Source organism: Homo sapiens, chromosome 19, assembly GCF_000001405.40.
Source record: "Homo sapiens chromosome 19, GRCh38.p14 Primary Assembly".
NCBI lineage: Eukaryota > Metazoa > Chordata > Mammalia > Primates > Hominidae > Homo > Homo sapiens.
Window position 1 is genome coordinate 17769021 of NC_000019.10, and position 22540 is coordinate 17791560.

The following is a 22540-nucleotide window of genomic DNA, read 5'->3' on the forward strand; positions in this document are numbered from 1 at the left end:
ATCCCAGCACTTTGGGAGGCTGAGGCGGGCAGATCACCTGAAGTCGGGAGTTCAAGACCAGCCTGGCCAAAATGGTGAAACCCTGTCTCTACTAAAAATACAAAATTAGCCGGGCATGGTGGTGCATGCTTGTAATCCCAGCTACTTGGGAGGCTGAGGCAGGAGAATCGCTTAAACCCGGGAGGCGGAGGTTGCAGGGAGCTGAGATTGTGCCACTGCACTCCAGCCTGGGTGAAAGAGCAAGACTCCGCCTCAAAAAAAAAAAAAAAAAAAAGGCCTGGCACGGTGGCTCAAGCCTGTAATCCCAGCACTTTGGGAGTCCGAGGCAGGCAGATCACGAGGTCAGGAGATCGAGACCATCCTGACTAACACGGTGAAACCCCGTCTCTACTAAAAATACAAAAGAAAAATTAGCCGGGCGTGGTGGCGGCGCCTGTAGTCTCAGCTACTCAGGAGGCTGAGGCAGGAGAATGGCGTGAACCCGGGAGGCGGAGCTTGCAGTGAGCCAAGATCGCGCCACTGCACTCCAGCCTGGGTGACACAGCGAGACTTCGTCTCAAACACACACACACACACACACACACACACACACACACACACACACACACACACAAAACGGTGAGTTAAGCAACACAGTCTGCCACTGTTTGTCATAAAACTTGGGTTAGAACAAGCATCTTTATCCATATGCGGATTATTTCTAGAGAAGTATCACAGTAATAATTGGGGACTTCTAGGCTGGAGGGCCCATATATGGGAGGCTTTTTCCTGGCTTACCTCTTACAACTTTCTGAAATATGAACCATGTGTAAATAGTACTTTTTTTTAAAGTTAAAAATGTTTTGAAATGAAAAACGTACAGGCCGGGCGTAGTGGCTCACACCTGTAATCCCAACACTTTGGGAGGCTGAGGCAGGTGGATTGCTTGAGTGTAGGAGTTTGAGACCAGCCTGGGCAACATAGCAAGACCCCATTGCTATTAAAACACACACACAGAGGCCGGGCGTGGTGGCTCACACCTGTAATGCCAGCACTTTGGGAGGCCAAGGTGGGCAGATCACCTGAGGTCAGGAGTTAGAGACCAGCCTGGCCAACATGGTGAAACCCCGTCTCCACTAAAAATACAAAAAATTATCTGGGTGTGATGGTGAGCACCTGTAATCTCAGCTACTTGGGAGGCTGAGGCAGGAGAATTGCTTGAAACCGGGAGGCAGAGATTGCAGTGAGTCGAGATCGTGCCACTGCACTCCAGCCTGGACAACAAGAGCGAAACTCTGTCTAAAAAAAACCAAACCAAAACACACACACACACATAGAAAAAGACTGTGGAGCTGACATCACGTGGAGTGTTTGGGAGGTCAGGAATTTCACAGTCTACCCATGAAATCCCCTCCTACCCCGCAGTGCAAGGAGGAAGTGGTGAGCACCTTGGATGCTGTGCAGGTACTCTCGGGCGTCAGCCAGCTCCTGCCCAAGTCCCGCGAGAACTACCTGAACCGTTGCATGGACCAGGAGCGGCTGCGGAGGGAGAGTACCAGCCAGAAGGAGATGGACAAGGTGGGCTCACAGTGGGGGGGTTCTGAGGAATTTGCCGCGGGGCGGAGGGGCTGCCTGATCAGAGAGTGGAAACACATCCCAGAGCGACGGTCCTGGAACCTGTGGGTGATCACACCCTGGGTACCCCGAGGAGTTCACCTGCCAGGTGATGGGGCCTGGGGGAGGCCCCCTGAGTATCGCCCTCCCATCCCCGTTTCCTCCCTGTGCTTTGTAGGCGGAGACTAAAACCAAGAAGGCGGCAGAGAGCCTGCGGCGCTCAGTGGAAAAATACAACTCAGCCCGAGCTGACTTTGAGCAGAAGATGCTGGACTCAGCCCTGGTAAGAACCAGGCATCTGTACCTTTAAGACCCACACATGCCTTTGCCCTGGAGGTTATGGACTGCAGAAATCCCAGGCAGGGTGTGGTGGCTCACACCTGTAATCCCAGCACTTTGGGAGGCCGAGGCGGGAGGATCACCTGAGGTCAGGAGTTTGAGACCAGCCTGGCCAACATGGCGAAAGCCTGTCTCTACTAAAAATACAAAATTAGCCGGGCGTAGTGGCAGGTGCCTGTAATCCCAGCTACTCAGGAGGCTGAGGCGGGAGAATCACTTGAACCAGAAGGCGGAGGTTGCAGTGAGCCAAGATCGAGCCATTGTACTCCAGGTTAGGTGATAGAGTGGAACCCTGTCTCGAAAAAATAAAATAAATTCAAGCAGATTGGAATCTGAGGATTAGGAATCAGAACTTTTTTCAAGTTACAAGTGATAGAAGCCTTCATTCAAACCGACAGGTGTATATAAAAAAAAAAAAGAAAAGAAAAGAAAAAGGCTGGGCGCGGTGGCTCATGCCTGTAATCCCAGCACTTTGGGAGGCCGAGGCAGGTGGATCACGAGGTCAGGAGATCGAGACTATCCTGGCTAACACGGTGAAACCCCCTCTCTACTAAAAATACAAAAAAATTAGCCGGGCGTGGTGGTGGGTGCCTGTAGTCCCAGCTGCTCAGGAGGCTGAGGCCGGAGAATGGCGAGAACCCAGGAGGCGGAGCTTGCAGTGAGCCGAGATTGCGCCACTGCACTCCAGCCTGGGCGACAGAGCGAGACTCTGTCTCAAAAAAATAAAAAATAAAATAAAAAATAAAATTTAAAAAAACTGACAAGCTCAGGGAACTGTAAAGTTTTATTTTTGAGTTGTGGAGGTTTCAGTCATAGCTGAATCCATGTGCTCAAATAGTGCTGGCAGGAAATTGTGAATTTCTGCTTCTTTTATTTTTTTGAGATGGGATCTCTCTGTCACTCAGGCTGGAGTGCAGTGGCGTGATCTCAGCTCACTGCAACCTCCGCCTCCTGGGCTCAAGTGATTCTCCTGCCTCAGCCTCCCTAGTAGTTGGGATTACAGGCACGTGCCACCACACCCAGCTAATTTTTGTATTTTTAGTAGAAACGGTTTCACCATGTTGCCCAGACTGGTCTTGAATTCCTGACCTCAGATGATCCACCTGCCTTGGCCTCCCAAAGTGCTGGGATTACAGGCATGATACACCACAGCTGACCACTATTTCTGCTTCTTAAGTCTGTTTTTCTCTCTGGGGACATCACTCCCACACAGACATCCCCTTGTGTGTGTGTGTGTGTGCATGTGTGTGCAAGCATGCACATGTGTGCATCAAACTGGGCACCAGCAACCCCCACTTACATCCCATCAGCACATTGGCTCAGGAATGGAAGTGCCTTTTCCTGTAGAGTCAATGAAAGTCCTAGGGCAGACTCTCATTGGCCCTTCCCCAAATCAATCACTGAGCCAAGGGCTTAGGGTATTCTGATTGGTCAGGCTGAGTCATATGGCCACTTCTTCTTGGCCCTGACCTCCTTTCCACCTGCCTCTGCCCTCCTGCTTCAGCGCTTCCAAGCCATGGAGGAGACACACCTGAGGCACATGAAGGCACTGCTGGGCTCATATGCTCACTCGGTGGAGGACACGCACGTGCAGATTGGGCAGGTGAGTTGGGCAGGTGTGAGGAATGAGGCTGGGGTCACTGCTGGGCAAAGGGGCCTTGACCAGTTACACACCCCGCCCACCCGGCACAGGTGCATGAGGAATTTAAGCAGAACATCGAGAACGTCAGCGTGGAGATGCTACTCAGGAAGTTTGCAGAGAGTAAGGGCACAGGCCGGGAGAAGCCTGGTGAGTCAGGGCAGCCATTGGGGGTCGGGCTTCGGGGCCACAGCTGCAGACAGGCATGTGCCACCATGCCCAGCTAATTTTTTTTTTATTTTTTTATTTTTAATAGAGACGAGGTTTCACCATGTTGGCCAGGCTGGTCTCGAACTCTTGACCTCAGGTGATCTGCCTGCCTCGGCCTCCCAAAGTGCTGGGATTACAGGCGTGAGCCACTGCACATGGCCAGGCCTTGGTTTCTTCATGGGAAAAATGGGCTGCTGACAAGTCCAGCTCTCCAGCCTGATCTTATGTGTAAATGTCTTTGAACCAGATCCCAGAGGAGCCTTGAATGCCAGGCTTGGCTGATCAGACTTCACCCCCAGGGCCTAAGGGAGCCATTGAGGGTTGTTGAGCAAAAGAACAATTTGGGAATGCGCAGATGCAGGACTGGGAAGGAGTTAAGAGCAAAAGTTTTAGAGTGAGACGTGGGTTTGAGTCTTTTCTTCATCGCTTGCTGTGTGACCTAGGACCTGTGCTTTGACTTCTCTGAGCCTCAGTTTCCTCATCTGTAAAGTGAGGATGTAATAATGTTGCAACATTCAGTGATTTCATGCAGGTAAAGGGCAAAGGGTGTGCCAGGCACACAGTAGGCACTCACTAAATGCTGGTATACAGTTACGTCCTCAAGTCTTGTTAACTAGCAAAACCTGTTCTTTCTCCCTCCTGTCGCTCTGGCTCAGGCCTGGCTCAGGTCTCCCCTCCCTGCATGGGGCCCCACTCTTGCCCTTCACAGGCCCCAGATCTGTTTTGTCCTCCTCCTGCTCACACACCTTCCATGGCTCCCCATTGTTCTTGGGAGAGAGTTCCCACTCCTTATCCTGTCACTCAAAGCCCAGCCCACTGCACAGACGCATGGTCCATTCCCCGACCCAACCCAAGTTCCAGCCACAAATGCTGGAAGTATGTAGAAGTAGCTCATGTCACCCCCTGCGGTGGCACTGCCCTGCTGGAACCAGACCAGCCCCTTGGTCCATCCCACTTCTGATGATGTGGGGCTGGTTCTTGTCCGGGAACCTGATGGACCTTGAGTTCAGATCCAGGTGCCATTTTGTGGCCAAAAGTGTACTACCCTTTCCAAGCGCAGTCTCCCCACCCTCAATTTAGTTTCTTTCTCTCTCTCTCTCTCTTTTTTTTTTTTTTTTAATTTTTTTGAGGCAGAGTCTTGCTCTGTCACCCAGGCTGGAGTGCAGTGGTGCAGTCTCGGCTCACTGCAACCTCCGCCTCCTGGGTTCAAGCGATTCTCCTGCCTCAGCCTCCCCAGTAGCTGGGATTACAGGCGCCTGCCACCATGTCCGGCTTTTTTGTAATTTTAGCAGAGACAGGGTTTCACCATGGTGGCCAGGCTGGTCTTGAACTCCTGACCTCAGGTGATCCGCCCGCCTTAGCCTCCCAAAGTGCTGGGATTACAGGCATGGGCCACCGTGCCCAGCCCCTCAATTGAGTTTCCGTCTCCTGTCTCAGGACCTCTGGACTTCGAGGCATACAGTGCGGCTGCCCTGCAGGAAGGCAAGTACGTCTGGGCCTGGATGCCCAGGCTGGACCATGGGGGTGAGGGAGGCTGATCTGAATGTGAAAGGAGGCTCACAGTGCTCAGGTGCCCCCCAATCTATCCTCAGCGATGAAACGTTTGCGGGGAGCCAAGGCCTTTCGCCTTCCAGGACTAAGCCGGCGGGAGCGGGAGCCAGAGCCACCTGCAGCTGTGTGAGGAAGCACCCCTGCCCGGTCTGGCCCAGGCTAGACCGAGATCCCCTCCCCTGCCCAGGCTATCCCAGAAGTCCCCTCCTAGGATAGCCCAGGAGTATCCATATTCCAGGCTGGACCAGGATTCCCTCTACCTGAGCTAGACCAGGAGTACCTCTGCCCCCGGCTAGCTCAATATTACCGCTGCCCAAGCTAGTCCAGAATTCTTCCTTTTGCTAGGTTAGGCCAGGAATTGCCTGTCCCAGAGTAACGTAGCATCTTCCCTGCCCAAGCTGGCCCAGGATTGTTCTGTTTGCCAAGGCTAGCCCCGACTTTCCCTATCTTCACAAGGCAGCCCTTCAAATGAGTTCCAGGATTCCTTCCCTCCCAGGCTGTTTGAGAACACTCTCTACTCAGCTAACTTCAGATTCAACCCCCTCCCCAAGCAAGCCCCATGGTCCCACCGCCTCTAGGGCTAGCTCAGGGCAGTATCACAGTCTGGGAGCTGCCCCAGCTTCCATGTCCAGTGTTGGGGGCTGACAGGGGGCACCAGATGGGCTGCGGAAGCTGACACCAACATCTCTTCCTCCATCCCCAGAGATTTCCTGGAGCCCGATTCAGGGGTGAGTGATGTGGGAGGGGTCAGGCTGGGCTACAAGTGGAAGGAGTTTGATCCCACTCTTGGCTCCTAGAGTCCCGATCCCTACTGGAAACTAAAGAGCCGAGATTGAGGGGCGGGCTGGAGCCTGGGGGCTGGGTTCATATCCCACCTCAGCTGCAAAGTCCCATGGACTACGTGGGTGTGAATAATGTCCCTGCCGAAGCTCAGTTTGTCCCAGGAACCTGCCCACACACCCAGGGAAGACAGTCGTTGCCATCAGGGTTGGTTTTGAGGTCTGAGTCAAGGCCTGGGGGCAGGGCGGGGGGCGGTTGGCAGGGTGAGATGGAAGGTTCGATAGTGGGGCGCCTGACTCACTGCTGCCCCCTGACTCCCCTAGACATGTCCAGAGGTGGATGAAGAAGGTTTCACTGTCCGGCCTGATGTGACCCAGAACAATATCCTTCTGGCACCCCCTGGGGGCAGTTGTTGGCACAGCAAGGACAAAATTCTCCGTAATAACCAGTCCACCTTCAGCAGTCCTCTCTGTGTACATCCTGGAGAGAGTCTCCTTTGTGGATGAAGCCAACCTAAATGTAAACACCCACTCTATGGGGTCAGCACTGGGCAAGAGGGAGAGAGAAAAGGAGATCTAGCAGGGCTTCCTGGAGGAGGGGGCACCAGTGTTGGGGTTTTGCAGCCGAATAGGAGTTTGCCAGTTAGTTCTGGGCATGCTTGTGCAAAGGCTTCTCGGGGGGGGTGGGAGTGCTGGTGGGACATGGTGTCAGGACTGAAGGTGGCGCGTGGTGAGCGATGGGATTGGGCAGGACCTCGAAGGGTTTGAGCAGGGAGGGACGAGGCTGGATTGGAGAGCTGACTGGGGGAAAGCTTGTGTTGGGATTGGCTTGGACCTTGACTGCAGCCCACGCACGGCCGAGCCCTCCCGTTTCTCGTCCAGCGACTCCGACTTCGACGATGAAGAGCCCCGCAAGTTCTATGTGCACATCAAGCCTGCCCCGGCCCGGGCTCCAGCCTGCAGCCCCGAGGCAGCAGCGGCACAGCTCAGGGCCACCGCGGGCAGCCTCATCCTTCCTCCTGGCCCAGGGGTGAGGCGTGGGAGGGGTGCCCTGGGTGTTGCTAGAGAGGCTGGCTGGATGCATTCGTGTGTGATGTTGCCCACTTTGTCCACAGGGCACCATGAAACGCCATTCTTCACGTGAGTAGCCTTTGGTCTTCAGAGTGGGGAGGATCCTAAGGAAGGGAGGCTATGGGTTTGGGCTTGAATCATAACTCCGTTTTGTAACTTTGGGCAGGCTGCTTAACCACACTGACCTTCAGTCTCCTTTTCTGTAAAATGAGGTCATTATGAAATTAAGTGAGAGCTGAAAGGGGTAGCTGGGGCCAGGAGAAGCTAGCATCTGGAGACAGGCTCGCTTAGGCTTGAATCCATGTCTGCCTGATTTGCTGATCACCTTGGGCAACTGGCTGGACACCCCCGAGCCTCGGTCCCTTGGTCTGTGGAGTGGGGAGCATTGCAGGCAGGGTGACAAGAAGGCTGAAGGAGGTGCATCTCTTGTAGGGGACGCTGCTGGGAAACCCCAGAGACCTCGGTCTGCCCCCAGAACCAGCAGGTGGGTTCCACACGAGTGGGCAGGTGGGGGCTGTCCCCACCTCCTCCCTCCACCTCCCCATGTCTCCGCCTGGTGTTCTCTTGTCCCGGCTGGGAGTTGACGTCATGCTGGGGTTTTTTTGTTTTTGTTTTTGTTTTGAGACAGAGTCTCACTCTGTCACCCAGGCTGGAGTGCGATTTCAGCTCACTGCAACCTCCACCTCCTGAGTTCAAGCGATTTTCATGCCTCAGCCTCCTAAGTAGCTGAGATTACAGGCACCCACCACCACGCCCAGCTAACTTTTGTATTTTTAGTAGAGACAGGGTTTCACCATGTTGGCCCGGCTGGTCTCGAACTCCTGACCTCAAGTGATCTGCCCACCTCGGCTTGCCAAAGTGCTGGGATTACAGGCATGAGCCCTTGTGCCTGGCCCATGCTGGCTTTTGAGGGACCATTTAGTCATTCATTTGATGAACATTTATTGAGTGCCTGCTGTGTACCTGTGCTGTTCTAGGGTCTGGGTTCTGAGACAGGTCTCCCTTCTCAGAGTCACATTCTAGTGACTCCAGATTTTAAGAATAGCAAATAGGGCCAGGCGTGGCGGCTCACGCCTGTAATTCCAGCACTTTGGGAGGCCAAGGCAGGCGGATCACCTGAGGTCGAGAGTTCGAGACCAGCCTGACCAACATAAAGAAACCCCATCTCTACTAAAAATACAGCATTAGCCAGGCATGGTGGCACATGCCTGTAATCCCAGCTATTCGAGAGGGTGAGGCAGGAGAATCGCTTGAACCTGGGAGGCGGAGCTTGCAGTAAGCCACTGTTGTGCCATTGCATTCCAGCCTGGGCAGCAAGAGGAAACTCCGTCTCAAAAAAAAAAAAAAAAAAAAAAAAAAAGCAAATAAGTTAGAGCATATTCGATACTTCTAAGTGCTACGAAGAAACTAAAGCAGATGACGCGAAGACAGGAGGAGGTGACTTCCCTTGAGGTGGGGTTGGGAACCTCCCTGAGGGGGTGACTTGGAGCTAAGCCCCAAAGAGGAGCTAGGAGGTGACTGTGAAGAGAGCTGGGGAAATGGAACTCCAGACTGGGAACAGGCTGCACACAGTGGCTCACACCTGCAATCCCAGCACTGGCCAAAGCAGCCAGATCACTTGAGGTCAGGAGTTTGGGATCAGGCTGGCCAGCATGGTAAAACCCCGTCTCTGCTAAAAATACAAAAATTAGCCGGGCATGGTGGCAGGTGCCTGTAATCCCAGCTACTCTGGAGGCTGAGGCAGGAGAATCGCTTGAACGCAGGAAGCGGAGGTTGCAGCAAGCTGAGATCGTGCCACTGCACTGCAGCCTGGCCGACAGAGCAAGACTCCGTCTCAAAAAAAAAAAAGACTGGGAACAGCATGTGCAAAGGCCCCAGGGTGGGATGAGGCTTGGGAAAAATAGAAGCAGCCCTCTTGGCCTCACCCTCTCTAGCTGTGCAGAGAGATTGCAGTCAGAGGAGCAGGTGTCCAAGAACCTCTTTGGGCCGCCCCTGGAGTCAGCCTTTGACCACGAAGATTTTACAGGTGATGGGGATAAGGGATTGGAGGGCATGGGTGTGGCCGGAGGGAGGTTGGGTGGGGCCATTGCAGAGTTAGGCCAATGAGGTCCCCTGGAAGCCAGGCTGGAGGGAGGACTAGTCCGTGTAGGGGTGGGCGGGGCCAGAGTGCGCGTGGGAGGGGCCATAGATAGGGTGGGGCCTTGGCCAGTGGGCGGTGACTGAGTGGATGGGCCGGACATTTGTGGAGAGGGAAGTCACCAGAAGGTGTAGCCTTGGGGGCGTGCACAAGGACTTTGAATGGGGGCCCCCCTGACCTTCCCTCGACGTGGCCGTGGCCTGCAGGAGGATGGGCAGGGACTCTGAGTGGGCGAGGGTCGGAGCTGACCGCCCGCTTCCCTCCCCAAGGCTCTAGCAGCCTGGGCTTCACCTCCAGCCCCTCCCCTTTCTCCTCCTCGTCGCCCGAAAACGTGGAGGATTCCGGCCTGGACTCTCCGTCCCACGCGGCACCTGGCCCCTCCCCAGATTCCTGGGTCCCCCGCCCAGGCACCCCGCAGAGCCCGCCCAGCTGTAGGGCGCCACCCCCAGAGGCCAGGGGTATCCGGGCACCGCCTCTGCCAGACTCGCCGCAGCCCCTCGCCTCGTCTCCAGGCCCCTGGGGGCTGGAGGCCTTGGCCGGAGGAGGTGAGTCCAGCGGGCCTGGGCCTGAGAGTTGCTGGAACCCTGGGCGGGGGATTGAGCGCCTGCTTTGGGCAGGGCCTGATCAGGCTGCTGGAGACACAGCCAGGACCAGGCAGGCAGAACCTCCCACCGTTGCAGGGACAACAATGAGATGGACATTTAGCAAGGCAGGCGGTAGCGGGTGCCAGGTGGGGGCCCTCCCTGAGGAAGGGACATCTGAGCTGAGATTTGAGGGAGGTGAGGACAGAACCACGTGGACATGAGGGGAAAGGCGTGCTGGGCAGAGGGCACAGCCCCTGCAAAGGTCCTGGGGCAGGAGCGCGCTAGGCCTGTCTGAAGAACAGCAAGGAGGTCTGCCTGCTGGAACGGGGTGATCACGGAAGGAGGAAGAAGAGAAGGCAGGGACCAGGAAGGGCCTGATGGGCCCAGGGAGGGCTTGTGAATGTTACCCTGAGTAACGCTGAGGGCCATGAGCAGGGGAGGGGCGGGACCTGACTCAGGGGTCACAGGCTCCCTCTGGCAGCTTCGGGAGTGAGGGCAGAAACCAGAGACTGGGGAGGCAACCAGGGAGGCAAGTAGGCGATGGGGGTAAGGGTGGCAGTGGGAGAAGCAGGTGGAAAGGTCGCTGCAGGGGAGAGTTCGGAGGAGTAAGGATGGGGAAGGAGCGGAGTCAAGGGAGGGAGGAGGATGGGGAAGGAGCGGAGTCAAGGGAAGGAGGAGGATGGGGAAGGAGCGGAGTCAAGGGAGGGAGGAGGATGGGGAAGGGGCGGAGTCAAGGGAGGGAGGAGGATGGGGAAGGGACAGTCAAGGGAGGGAGGAGGATGGGGAAGGGGCGGAGACAAGGGAGGGAGGAGGATGGGGAAGGGGTGGAGTCAGGGAGGGGTGGGGGACGTCGAGGCTGTGCCTTTAGGTGTCAGGTGCACAGTGGACCCTGAGTGTGGGGAAGGTCAGGTCAGAGCACCCCCTCCTTGAAGACGTCATCAAAACAGGAGGAGCAGCCGCCCAGGGAGAGCAGAGGAGAGGACAGCCGGGGAGCCCAGAGGGGTTGGAGACAGGAGGACAGCAGGAGATGGGGGGAGAGCGGCGGGATGGGCTCCTGGGGGCTGTCTGAGGAGAATGGGAAGCCCCCGAGTCAGAGGGACTGTGGGCTGTGACCACCCGAGGTCCCCAGTAGTGTCAACAAGGGCTCCTGGCACCCTCCATAGGAAAGGGCCAGGCTGGAGCCCGTTCAAGGGAGAGCTGAGTGGGTGGAGACCACAGAGTGGGGGCAGAAGAAGCTCTTTTTTTTTTTTTTTTTTTTGAGAGGGAGTTTTGCTCTTGTTGCCCGGGCTGGAGTGCAGTGGTGTGATCTTGGCTCACTGCAACCTCTGCCTCCCAGGTTCAAACAGTTTTCTGCCTCAGCCTCCCAAGTAGCTGGGACTACAGGTGCGTACCGCCACACGTGGCTAATTTTTGTATTTTTAGTAGAGATGGGGTTTCACCATGTTGGACAGGCTGGTCTCGAACTCCTGACCTCAGGTGATCTGCCTGCCTCGGCCTCCCAAAGTGTTGAGATTACAGGCGTGAGCCACCGCACCCGGCCTGAGTAGAGGCTCTTATCCAACCCTGCAAATTCTGCCCCCCCAGGGGACATTGTCAGTGTCTGGAGACATTTTTGGTTGTCACCACCAGGCAGGAGTGGTGCTCCTGGCATTCAGTGGGTGGAGGCCTGGGTTGCTGCTCAGCACCCTACAGTGCACAGGGCAGCCCCCGCCCCCGAGAATGGTCCAGCCCCCAAATATCCACAGTGCTGAGGCTGAGAAAGTCGGGTAGAGCGGGGAGCACAGCTTGGGGTACAGGTGAGAGGGGAGGTAGGTGGGAGGGGAGGTTGGCAAGCAAGGGAGCACGTTCATAGATGGAACAGAACCAGGACCCTGAGGAAGCAGGAGAGGGAGGGGAGCTTGGGTGTTAAAGGCATGAGACTCAGACACAGACCACAGTAGGTGGCTGCAGTCAGGTTCTCGGAAAGGGTAGAGGTCACAAAATGGCTGAATGTTGGCTAAAAATCCTCTGCTGAACCCCCCTTACAGCATGCCTGCGTCTTAAGCCTTCAGTGCTTGCTTGCATACCCCCAGTGATGGGGAGCTCACCCCTTATTGGGCCACCATTCTGGTGTCTGGGAGGGTTGGGGGTGTGGACAGTATCTGCAGTCCTGTCTGGCACCTTTTCTGCAACACCAGGACTTCAGACCCATTGGGGGTCTCTGCAGAAAAGCCCACCTCCTAAGATTTTGGCTGAGTTTGTGCCCCTGGGGAGGCCCCAGAGGCCCCGGGCAGCATCTCAGCAGTGCCTCTTTGTACTCGCTCCTAGACCTGATGCCTGCACCTGCTGACCCCACAGCCAGGGAGGGCCTGGCAGCCCCACCCAGGAGACTTCGCTCTAGGAAGGTGTCCTGCCCTCTCACACGTAGCAATGGGGACCTGGTAGGTGAGGGGGCGTGGCAGGAGCTGGACTGGGGGTCGCGTCTGGGGTCCGCTTTTGGGCACTGGTCCTGGGGCACTCACAGCCAAGATTGTCTCTTTCCCTTCCAGTCTCGTTCCCTGAGCCCCTCCCCACTGGGCTCTTCAGCCGCCAGCACTGCCTTGGAACGGCCCAGCTTCTTATCCCAGACAGGACACGGTATGTGAGGGCGGTCCTGGGCCTGGCTTTGGGCCTCAGTGTCACCTTCTCTGGTCTGGGTGGGTGGCTTCTCTGTTGGCAGAGGTGTGGTTGGGCGGAGGGAGTCTCGAGCCTGGAGCCTATATTCACACTGTCTATCCGTTGTTCCCCATTCCCTCTCCACCACCCCCAGGAGTCTCCCGGGGTCCGAGCCCTGTGGTCCTGGGCTCCCAGGATGCCCTGCCCATAGCCACAGCCTTCACAGAGTATGTCCACGCCTACTTCCGTGGCCACAGCCCCAGGTACCCAGTGATGGGCAGACAGGGCCCGTGGGAAGTCTGTGTTGGGGGAGTCCAGCAGGGACAGCTTTCAGATGTGCTTCATGGTCTGTCTTATAGTGAAAGGGCCTTGAACACTGAGCCAAGTGACCAGGCCCCTGTCCTGAGGGCAGTGGAGCCATAGGAGGGCCTTTTTTTTTTTTTTTTTTTTTTTTTTTTTGAGACAGAGTTTCGCTCTTGCTGCCCAGGCTGGAGTGTGCAGTGGTGCAATCTCGCAATCTCAGCTCACTGCAACCTCTGCCTCCCGGGTTCAAGCAATTCTCCTGTCTCAGCCTCCCGAGTAGCTGGAACTACAGATGCGTGCCACTGCACCCGACTAAATTATTGTGCTTTTTGTTTGTTTATTTGTTTGTTTGTTTGTTTTGAGACAGGGTCTCACTCTGTTGCCCAGGCTGGAGTGTAGTGGCGTGATCTCAGTTCACTGCCACCTCTGCCTCCTGGGTTCAAGAGATTCTCCTGCCTCAGCCTCCCGAGTAATTCTGGGATTACAGGCACATGCCACCACACCCTGCTGATTTTGTGTCTTTAGTAGAGACAGGGTTTCACCATGTTGGCCAGGCTGGTCTCGAACTCCTGGCCTCAAGTAATCCAGCTGCCTCAGCCTCCCAAGGTGCTGGGAGGATAGACATGAGCCACTGTGCCCAGCCATAGGAGAGCATTTAAGCAGGGCTATGCATTGCTGTAGACGCCAAGGCTGCCGTGGGCATTAAGATGAAGGGAGTAATACTAGAAGTTAGGCCCAGTAAGTGGGTAAGGGCGTGGGTTAGGGACAAGCGGAGTGCAGGGATATATATTGGGGTGGCCTTCAGCAGAAAAGATCTGAAAGTCAAACCATGAAGAAGAGGAGAGTGTCAGATCAAAAACCCAAGCAAAGGATAGCTAAAAAACTGAACATTTTAATTTGAGCTTCCTGGTGGCCTAGGAGAAAAGAGAACTAGGGATGGAGATGTTCCTGCCTCCTTCAGCCCAGGGTGGATTCTTCCTGTCCAGGCAGGAATGAAAGAGGAGGTTGGGGGAAAGGATACGGGGGATCATCAGGGCCATCCTCCTAGATCCGAGGAGTCTGGGGAGCCACAGGCACCAGTGAAACCAAGAGAAGGGGAAGGATGAGGCACCAGGCAGAGCCCTAAGCCAACACCCAGTCCCCTCATCCTCCCTAGCTGCCTGGCTCGAGTAACTGGGGAGCTGACCATGACCTTCCCTGCTGGCATCGTGCGTGTGTTCAGCGGGACCCCACCACCACCTGTCCTCAGCTTCCGGCTTGTACACACAACCGCTATTGAGCACTTCCAGCCCAACGCCGATCTGCTGTTCAGGTACTATGGAGGGGCAGTGGGAGAGGGCCTCGGAGGCTGCTGGGGATCAGGCTTCCGGACTCTGAGTTCCCTCTCTGCTTCCTGGGATTTTTTCTTTTCTTTTTTTTTTGTAGAGACGGAGTCTTGCTCTGTCGCCCAGGCTGGAGTGCAATGGCGTCATCTCGGCTCACTGCAACTCCGCCTCCCGGGTTCAAGCAATTCTCCTGCCTCAGCCTCCCAAGTAGCTGGGATTACAGGCACGTGCCACTACACCCAGCTAATTTCTTTCGTATTTTAGTAGAGACAGGGTTTCATCATGTTGCCCAGGCTGGTCTCAAACTCCTGAGCTCAGGCAATCCGCCCGCCTTGGCCTCCCAAAGTGCTAGGATTACAGGCGTGAGCTACCACACCCGGCTTGATTTTTTTTTTTTAATTATTATTTTTTTGAGATGGAGTTTTGCTCTTGTTGCCCAGGCTGGAGTGCAGTGGCGTGATCTCGGCTCACTGCAAGCTCCGCCTTCCGGATTCAAGTGATTCTCTTGCCTCAGCCACCTGAGTAGCTGGGATTACAGGCATGTGCCACCATGCCTGGCTGATTTTTGTATTTTTAGTAGAGATGGGGTTGCACCATGTTGGTCAAGCTGGTCTTAAACTCCTGACCTCAGGTGATCCACCCGTCTCAGCCTCCCAAAGTGCTGGGATTACAAGCATGAGCCACCACACCCAGCCACCTCCTGGGATTTGCTGTGTGGCGTGGGGCAAGTAACTTGCCCTCTCTGACCCTTGTTTTCCATCCCTCCTTTACTGCCCGCACCACAACCACCCAGGTAGGGCTTTGCTGGGCCCAGGGTGGGCCAGGAAATTGCATCTTTAGGAAGGGGTAGATTGAATGCTGGGAGCCCTGGGAGGGCATGTCCCGAGGATTGGGGTGATCAGTCCGGGTCTCTGCAGTGACCCCTCCCAGAGTGACCCTGAGACCAAAGACTTCTGGCTCAACATGGCAGCTCTGACCGAAGCCCTGCAGCGCCAGGCAGAGCAGAACCCCACTGCCTCCTACTACAACGTGGTGCTGCTGCGATACCAGGTGCGCCACCCGCATGGGGCCGGGAGGAGGTGGTGGAGTGGGGGACACGGTGAGCCGGCAGCAGACATGGAGGCGCCTGCGTGTTGGCCAGGCTGGTCTCGAATTCCTGACCTCAAGAGATCCAATCTGTGAGAGCCGATGAGCTGGAGGGAGTAGGCAGTGTGGGTCGGGAATGAACGGTGGAGGAGTAGGCAGTGTGGAAGAGCGTGCATCCCCTGTTGCAGATAGTATGTTTATGTGAACTAGAAGCAGCCCAGCCCCGGAACCTTACACTTGAACTTCCCTGGGAGACTTTGTTAGAATGAGGCGCTCTCCTGCCCCCTGCTGGAAACCTGGTGTAATACAGCCTCTCATCCATCAAATCTCCCTGTGACTGGACCCCCTTGGGGCGGTGCGTGCATCGCAGGGTCAAGGTGGTTGAATAGCGCATGGTGTGGCAAGACAGGATGGCCCAAGCTGTGTCCTCTCTCTCATTCTCATTCTTCCTAGTTCTCCCGCCCGGGTCCCCAGTCTGTGCCTCTGCAGCTCAGTGCCCACTGGCAGTGTGGAGCCACCCTCACCCAGGTCTCAGTGGAGTACGGCTACCGGCCCGGTGCCACGGCTGTGCCCACACCACTCACGAACGTCCAGATCCTGCTGCCTGTGGGGGAGCCTGTGACCAACGTCCGCTTGCAGCCGGCTGCCACCTGGTGAGGGCTTGCGGGAGGCCAAGGAAAACTCAGCAGTTTCCCCCATAACCCCAGACCTTCTCCCTGATGCATTGATTAAAGGGTGCACCCTCGGCCTGACCGTTAACTGTGAGCCCACCCTGCTTAGCACTAAGGGTGATGTTATGAGTGCCAGGTGCAGTGGCTCATGCCTGTAATTGCAGTGCTTTGGGAGGCTGAGGTGGGAGGATCACTTAAGGCCAGGAGTTTGAGACCAGCCTGGGCAATATGGTGAGATCTCATCTCTACAAAAAATATTTTGTTTATTTATTTATTTATTTAATTTATTTACTTTGAGATGAAGTCTCGCTCTGTCGTGCAGGTTGGAGTGCAGTGGCACGATCTCAGCTCACTGCAATCTCCGCCTCCCGGGTTCAAGCGATTTTCTCTGCCTCAGCCTCCCGGATAGCTGGGATTACAGGTGCCTGCTACCACACCCAGCTGATTTTTGTGTTTTTTTAGTAGACATGAGGTTTCACCATGTTGGTCAGGCTTGTCTCGAACTGCTGACCTCAGGTGATCCACCCGCCTCGGCCTCCCAAAGGACTGCGATTATAGGCATGAACCACTGCACCCAGCCTTACAAAAAAATATTTTAAAAAGTAGTCAGGCCGGGTGCGGTGGCTCACACCTGCAATCCCAGCACTTTGGGAGGCCGAGATGGGCAGATCACGAGGTCAGGAGATCGAGACCATCCTGGTTAATATGGTGAAACCCCGTCTCTACTAAAAATACAAAAAAAAAATCCGGGCATGGTGGCGGGTGCCTGTAGTCCCAGCTACTTGGGAGGCTGAGGTGGGAGAATGGCGTGAACCCGGGAGGTGGAGGTTGCAGTGAGCTGAGATCATGCCACTGCACTCCAGCCTGGGCAACAGAGTGAGACTCCGTCTCAAAAAAAAAAAAAAATAGTAGTGGTAGTGTGCTCTTGTAGTCCCAGCTACTCGGGAGGCTGAGACAGAAGGATCACTTGAGCCCAGGAGTTGAGGCTTCAAGGAGTTACCCTGGGTGACAACTGTCTCTTAAAAAACAAAAATTTAAAAAAAAAAAAGTCTGTTGTGAAGAAGCCAGACTTATAGGACAGAATGCGTCATCTAAAAGTGCTGCAAGGAAGCCGGGCATGGTGGCTTATGCCTGTAATCCCAACACTTTGGAAGGCCAAGGCAGGTGGATCACCTGAGGTCAGCAGTTTGAGACCAGCCTGGCCAATATGGTGAAACCCCGTCTCTACTAAATTACAAAAATTAGCCAGGCGTGGTGGCGGGCGCCTGTAATCCCAGCTACTCAGGAGGCTGAGGGAGGAGAATCGCTTGAACCCAGGAGGCATAGGCTGCAGTGAGCAGAGATCGCACCAATGCACACCAGCCGGGGCGACAGAGGGAGACACCATCTCAAAAAAACACACAAAAAAACACAAAACAAACACACACACACACACACACACAGAAGTGTTGCAAGGCTGTGTGGCTCCACGGCTGTTCCATATCTCACCCTCATTTCACAGATGAGGAAATTGAGGTGAAGTGGGGGAGAAGGTTTGTTGGGGTCACACAGCCAGGAGGCAGCTGAGGCAGGACCCTGGGCTCTCAGCATCCTCTCTGGGGAAGCCCTGATTAAGATTCTTTCTCTGCCAGGAACCTGGAGGAGAAGCGGCTCACTTGGAGGCTTCCAGATGTGTCCGAGGCAGGCGGTGAGCTGTGGTTGTGTATGAGGGCTGGGTGGGAGGGACTGGGGTCAGGTGGGAGGCACTTATTTATGTTGGGGAAGAATTGGGGACATACTGAGGGCGGGCAAGTATGGGCATTGAGGAAGTCTTTAAAAGCTGGAGGAGGGCCGGGCTGAGTGGCATAGGTCTGTAATCCCAGTGCTTTGGGAGGCCCAGAATGCAGGATCACTTGAGTCCAGCAGTTGGAGGCTGCAGTGACCCGTGATCGTACCACTGCACTCTAGCCTGGGCAATAGAGCCAGACTCTGACTCAAAAACAAACAAACAAACAAAAAAGGCCAGGTGTGGTGGCTCACGCCTGTAATCCCAGCACTTTGGGAGGCCGAGGTGGGTAGATCACTTGAGGTCAGGAGTTCAAGACCAACCTGGCCAGCATGGTGAAACCCTGTCTCTACTAAAAATATAAAAATTAGCCGCGTGTGGTGGCACGCACCTGTGATCCCAGCTACTTGGGAGGCTGAGGCAGGAGAATCGCTTGAACCCAGTAGGTGAAGGTTGTAGTGAGCCGAGATCGTGCCACTGCACTCCAGCCAGGGTGACAGAGCGAGACTCTGTCTCAAAAAAAAAAAAAAAAAAAAAAAAAAAAAAGCTGGAGGAGGGCCAAGGACAGTGGCATAGGTCTGTAATCCCAGTGCTTTGGGAGGCCCAGGTGGGAGGATCACTTGAGCCCAGGAGTTAGAGGCTGCAGTGACCTATGATTGCACCACTATACTCCAGCCTGGGCAACAGAGCCAGACCCTGTCTCTAAAAAAAAAAAAAAAAAGCTGAAGGAGAGGGCGTCCCAGGGCCAGATGGCCAGACACAGCAGGTGCAAAGGCCCTGAGGCAGGACTCCCTTGCTAGCCATACAAAGCCCAGTGATGCCAGGAGAGACAGATGCAGGGGATCAAAGGGAGGTCTGATGGGGCACATAAAGGCCACAGAACAGAGGGCTTCAGGTGTGGGCCAAAGATGAGCCTGGTTCACAGCTGGGACGGGGGCTGGTGCCAGGGCGCAGCTGACTGCAGGTCTCCCCAGGTTCTGGCCGCCTCTCTGCCAGCTGGGAGCCGCTCTCAGGGCCCAGCACACCCAGCCCCGTGGCTGCACAGTTCACCAGCGAGGGGACCACTCTGTCGGGCGTGGACTTGGAACTGGTGGGCAGCGGTTACCGCATGTCGCTGGTGAAGAGGAGGTTTGCCACAGGTACTCCCCAACCCTGCTGCTGGGTGACCTCAGGAGCCGAGATCTTACAGGGGCAAGCCCCGGGGTGTGGGGAGGGATTGGGGTGTGGGGATCCTTGGGAAAGATAGGTGGGTGTTGGGGCCAGGAGACCCCAGATGGGGGGCACAGGTGGGCAAGGAGGCAGGGCCCTGTGTATCTGGGGCTGGCCCTTGGAGGACGTCCTTGGAAGGACCCCAGCCAGGGAGCCCGAAGTCCCCCCTGCCACCCCCTCCTCCAGCCCCACCCTGTTCTCCTGCCCCCAACAAGGGGCTCCTGGGGCCCAGTGGCAACAGGGACTATGAGTTACAGGGGTGTTTTGAAGAGGACAAGGATGATTGAAGCATCCCAGGGTCAGAGCCGGGGAACCCCTCCCGTACCCCTCCTCCCCACCCCTCCCCCTCACAGCTGCACCCCCACAGGGATGTACCTGGTGAGCTGCTGAACCCGCAAATGCTGCTGCCCCAGCTCTACACTGCGCCCTGGTGCTGGCTGACCACCCCCTGCCCTCCTGCCGGACCCTGGGGCCTCCCACCCCAGCCTCCCTGAGGCCCATACTCCACGGAGAGGAGCCCCATGCCCAGCCTGGCTGAGCCCGAGATTCGCTCCTCCCCCTCATGCCAACCCCACACAGGTCCCGGCCTTTTAATGTTCTTTGAATAAACACTTTATTTTCTAATAAAATAAAAAAGGAAACCTTTTCCTGCTCCAGGAAGTATCCTTTGCGTTGCCAGAGAGGGGAGGAAGAGAAGGTGGATGGATACGAGAGACCTAATGTACCTCCCTCCCTGCACTGCGCTCAACCGGTACAGGGCCATTCTGGGAGAGAAAGAACAACACAGATACCCCAGCCCCATGGGCTCAGAGGTGGGCTATAGGGAGGGAGGAGGACTACAGAAGCCCAGAAAGGGGTGTCAGGAGTCTTCCCAAGCAGTCAGGAAGACTTTCTAAGGAGGGGGCATTATAAATGAGGTTTTGAGGTATGAGTAGGAGTTTGCAAGATAGGAATGGGCATCCCAAGCAAAGTGATGGAAGGTTGTTAGTTCAATGAGGAAGCAATTAGTCAACCTACAAATATTAATTGAGTATCTACTGTATACCATGTAGCAGAGAGAGAGCTATGAGCAGGACAAAGTTCTTGGAACCCAGGAAGTGGAGATAGGAAGCCTGAGTGAGGAGCCTGCTTGGCGGCCACTGGCTGTGTGACTTTAAGCACGGGACTTGAGCCTCAGCTCATCTGCAACTCACCTCACTGGATATCTGTGGGAGGTCACACACTTAGAAGAGTGCCAACTACAGGGCAAAACCCCCACTAGTACCAGGCAGCTTTGGGAGCCCCAGGAGGAGGGTGGACCTTGGTGCAGGTGTGCAAGAATGGCCCACTGGGGAGGGCAGGACAGAAGCAGTAACAGCAGACTGCAGTGGGGAGCAGGTCTGAGCCCAGTGGACAGTCTTGGGTCCTGATGGATATTCAGGGAACCAGGGCCCGTGTTCCTGACCTTGAGGCTGTACAGACCCCAGGGAGCAAGCCCAGACTGGATGAAGCTCAGAAGGAAGGAAGTAGGAGGCAGGATTTGGCCTGAGACTTGCTGTGCGCTGTCTCTGATCATCCCACCCTGTCCTCCAAAGAGAGAGTGCCTCTGGCTGTGCGTCAGTTTCCTTGTCTGTAAGATGGGAGGAATCCTGTAGTTGGGAGAGGTTCAGGGAGCATTCTTGGCACAAAGCAAGTGCATAATTAACATTGGCTGAGAGTCGGGCACCGTGGCTCACGCCTGTAATCCCAACACTTTGGGAGGCCGAGGCAGGAGGATCACTTGAGAGCAGGAGTTCAAGACCAGCCTGGGCAACATAGCAAGACCCCCTGTTTCTACAAAAATAGGAAAATTGACCCAGCATGGTGGCACACGCCTATGGTCCCAGCTACTTGGGAGGCTGAGGCAGGAGGATCAATTGAACCCAGGAGGTTGAGGCTACAGTGAGCTAAGATCACACTGGTGCTCTCCAAGGCTCTGGGCAGCCACAGAGTGAGATACTGTCTCTTAAATAGGCCAGGTAGGGTGGCTCATGCCTATAATCCCAGCACTTTGGGAGGCCGAGGCAGGTGGATCATTTGAGGTCAGGAGTTCAAGACCAGCCTGGCCAACATGGTGAAACCCCGTCTCCACTAAAAATACAAAAATTAGCCAGGCGGTAGTAGTGTGCACGTGTAATCCCTGCTACTTGGGAGGCTGAGGCAGGAGACTCGCTTGAGCCTGGGAGGCGGAGGTTGTGATGAGCCCAGATTGTACCACTGCACTCCAGTCTGGGTGACAGAGTGAGACCCTGTATCAAAACAAAACAAAACAAAAACAACAAAAACGTCAGCTGTAGGAAGGAAGGATGATTATAGGAGTTGGGGCATCAAATGGGGGCAGAGGTGGCTGCAGCACCTGCCCTGTCTGGCTACAAACAGCCCAGGGACTTCCCAGCCCTTCATGTCTTCTCCCTTGCAGGTCTTAGCACCTAGGCTGTAAATTCAGAGACCACACCTGCCCAGTGGGTGTGGCTCTGGGTGTCAGAGAGTAGTGGCATCCATGGGGCCACTGGGTGTCAGACATCCATGGGGCCCTGGGTATCAGAGCTGAGCTTTATAGAGGTGACAAAATCAAAATCTGTTTGCCACCACCTCCTCATAATGTAGCCTAATCTGGGCATGGGTTCTTCCCTGTCTGATAAGTGGCGGGTACATGGCACCTCCTAGTAGCTTTTATTTGCCTTCCTGGGGACACAAATGAGGCTGGGCACCTTTTAAAATGAAGAAGGCATCTGGGCATGGTGACTCATGCCTGTAATTCCAGCACTCTGGGAGGCCAAGGCAGGTGGATCACTTGAGGTCAGGAATTCGAGACCAGCCTGGCCAACATGATAAAACCCCATCTCTACTAAAAATACAAAAATAAGCCAGGCGTGGTGGTGGGCGCCTGTAATCCCAGCTATTCGGGAGGTTGAGGCAGGAGAATCTCTGGAGCCCAGGACGAGGAGGTTGCAGTGAGCTGAGAACATGCCACTGCACTCCAGCCTGGGAGACAGAGACTCCATCTCAAAAAAGAAACCAAACAAACAGGGCTGGGCGCATTGGCTCACGCCTGTAATCCCAGCACTTTGGGAGGCCCAGGCCGGTGGATCACTTGAGGCCAGGAGTTCGAGACTAGCCTGGCCAACATGGTGAAACCCCCATCTCTACTAAGAAAACAAAAATTAGCTGGGCGTGGTGGCAGGTGCCTGTAATCTCAGCTACTCGGGAGGCTGAGGCAGGAGAATTGCTTGAACCCGGCAGGCAGAGGTTTCAGTGAGCCCAGATGGCGCCGCTGCACTCCAGCCTTGATGACAGAGCAAGACTCCGTCTCAAACAAACAACAACAACAACAACAAAAAAAACAAAAAAACACAAGCAAACAAAAAAGCGCAGAAGGCACTTTTCCCAGGTGTGGCCTCCTAACTGCCCAGCCTTCCAGAGCAGGTGTGACGTGACCTATCTCAGAAGAGTGAATTCCAAGAGAGAGGGCGCGGAACCCGTTAAACCTGCCAACCCCGGGCAGGCGTGATGCCATTATGCAGTTTACATGCCCTGGTCTCTTCCACCCGGGTGGCCTTAAAACCTCAGCTGTGGTACAGAGTGATCCATTGGCACAGCACCATCAACTGGGCCACATGTCAGAG

The 22540-nt window shown here is 55.4% G+C and overlaps 1 protein-coding gene across 77 annotated transcripts in view, besides 1 other annotated feature; it reads left to right on the forward strand.

The window, feature by feature from the left end:
• Nucleotides 1-19541, forward strand: part of FCHO1 (FCH and mu domain containing endocytic adaptor 1) — a 40818-nt gene extending 21277 nt beyond the window's left edge. For 26 of the 77 annotated variants that reach the window (NR_169234.1, NR_169232.1, NR_169236.1 and 23 more), the window contains 22 exons: nucleotides 1405-1557; nucleotides 1772-1876; nucleotides 3437-3535; nucleotides 3625-3721; nucleotides 5219-5263; nucleotides 5374-5458; nucleotides 6036-6060; nucleotides 6436-6493; nucleotides 6963-7141; nucleotides 7227-7251; nucleotides 7615-7666; nucleotides 9117-9208; nucleotides 9589-9864; nucleotides 12211-12323; nucleotides 12432-12519; nucleotides 12692-12800; nucleotides 13997-14152; nucleotides 15083-15215; nucleotides 15705-15904; nucleotides 17554-17609; nucleotides 18662-18826; nucleotides 19264-19541. Coding sequence is in view for 41 of the 77 variants with exons in the window: in NM_001384370.1 (NP_001371299.1) it covers nucleotides 1405-1557; nucleotides 1772-1876; nucleotides 3437-3535; nucleotides 3625-3721; nucleotides 5219-5263; nucleotides 5374-5458; nucleotides 6036-6060; nucleotides 6436-6493; nucleotides 6963-7141; nucleotides 7227-7251; nucleotides 7615-7666; nucleotides 9117-9208; nucleotides 9589-9864; nucleotides 12211-12323; nucleotides 12432-12519; nucleotides 12692-12800; nucleotides 13997-14152; nucleotides 15083-15215; nucleotides 15705-15904; nucleotides 17554-17609; nucleotides 18662-18826; nucleotides 19264-19286 (2334 nt within the window). In the remaining 36 variants the exon portion in view is untranslated. Of the gene's footprint in view, nucleotides 1-1404; nucleotides 1558-1771; nucleotides 1877-3436; nucleotides 3536-3624; nucleotides 3722-5218; nucleotides 5268-5373; nucleotides 5459-6035; nucleotides 6061-6435; nucleotides 6494-6962; nucleotides 7142-7226; nucleotides 7252-7614; nucleotides 7667-9116; nucleotides 9209-9588; nucleotides 9865-12210; nucleotides 12324-12431; nucleotides 12520-12691; nucleotides 12801-13888; nucleotides 14153-15082; nucleotides 15216-15704; nucleotides 15905-17553; nucleotides 17610-18661; nucleotides 18827-19249 lie in introns of all 77 variants that reach the window. The other 51 variants (NR_169227.1, NR_169222.1, NR_169221.1 and 48 more) reach the window with 21 other exon arrangements.
• Nucleotides 7407-7746: an enhancer, noted in NCBI's record as "active region_14285". NCBI's record gives its function as "activates an Ori minimal core promoter by ATAC-STARR-seq in GM12878 lymphoblastoid cells {active_cell/tissue: GM12878}" and the evidence as "EXISTENCE:reporter gene assay evidence [ECO:0000049][PMID:35858748]".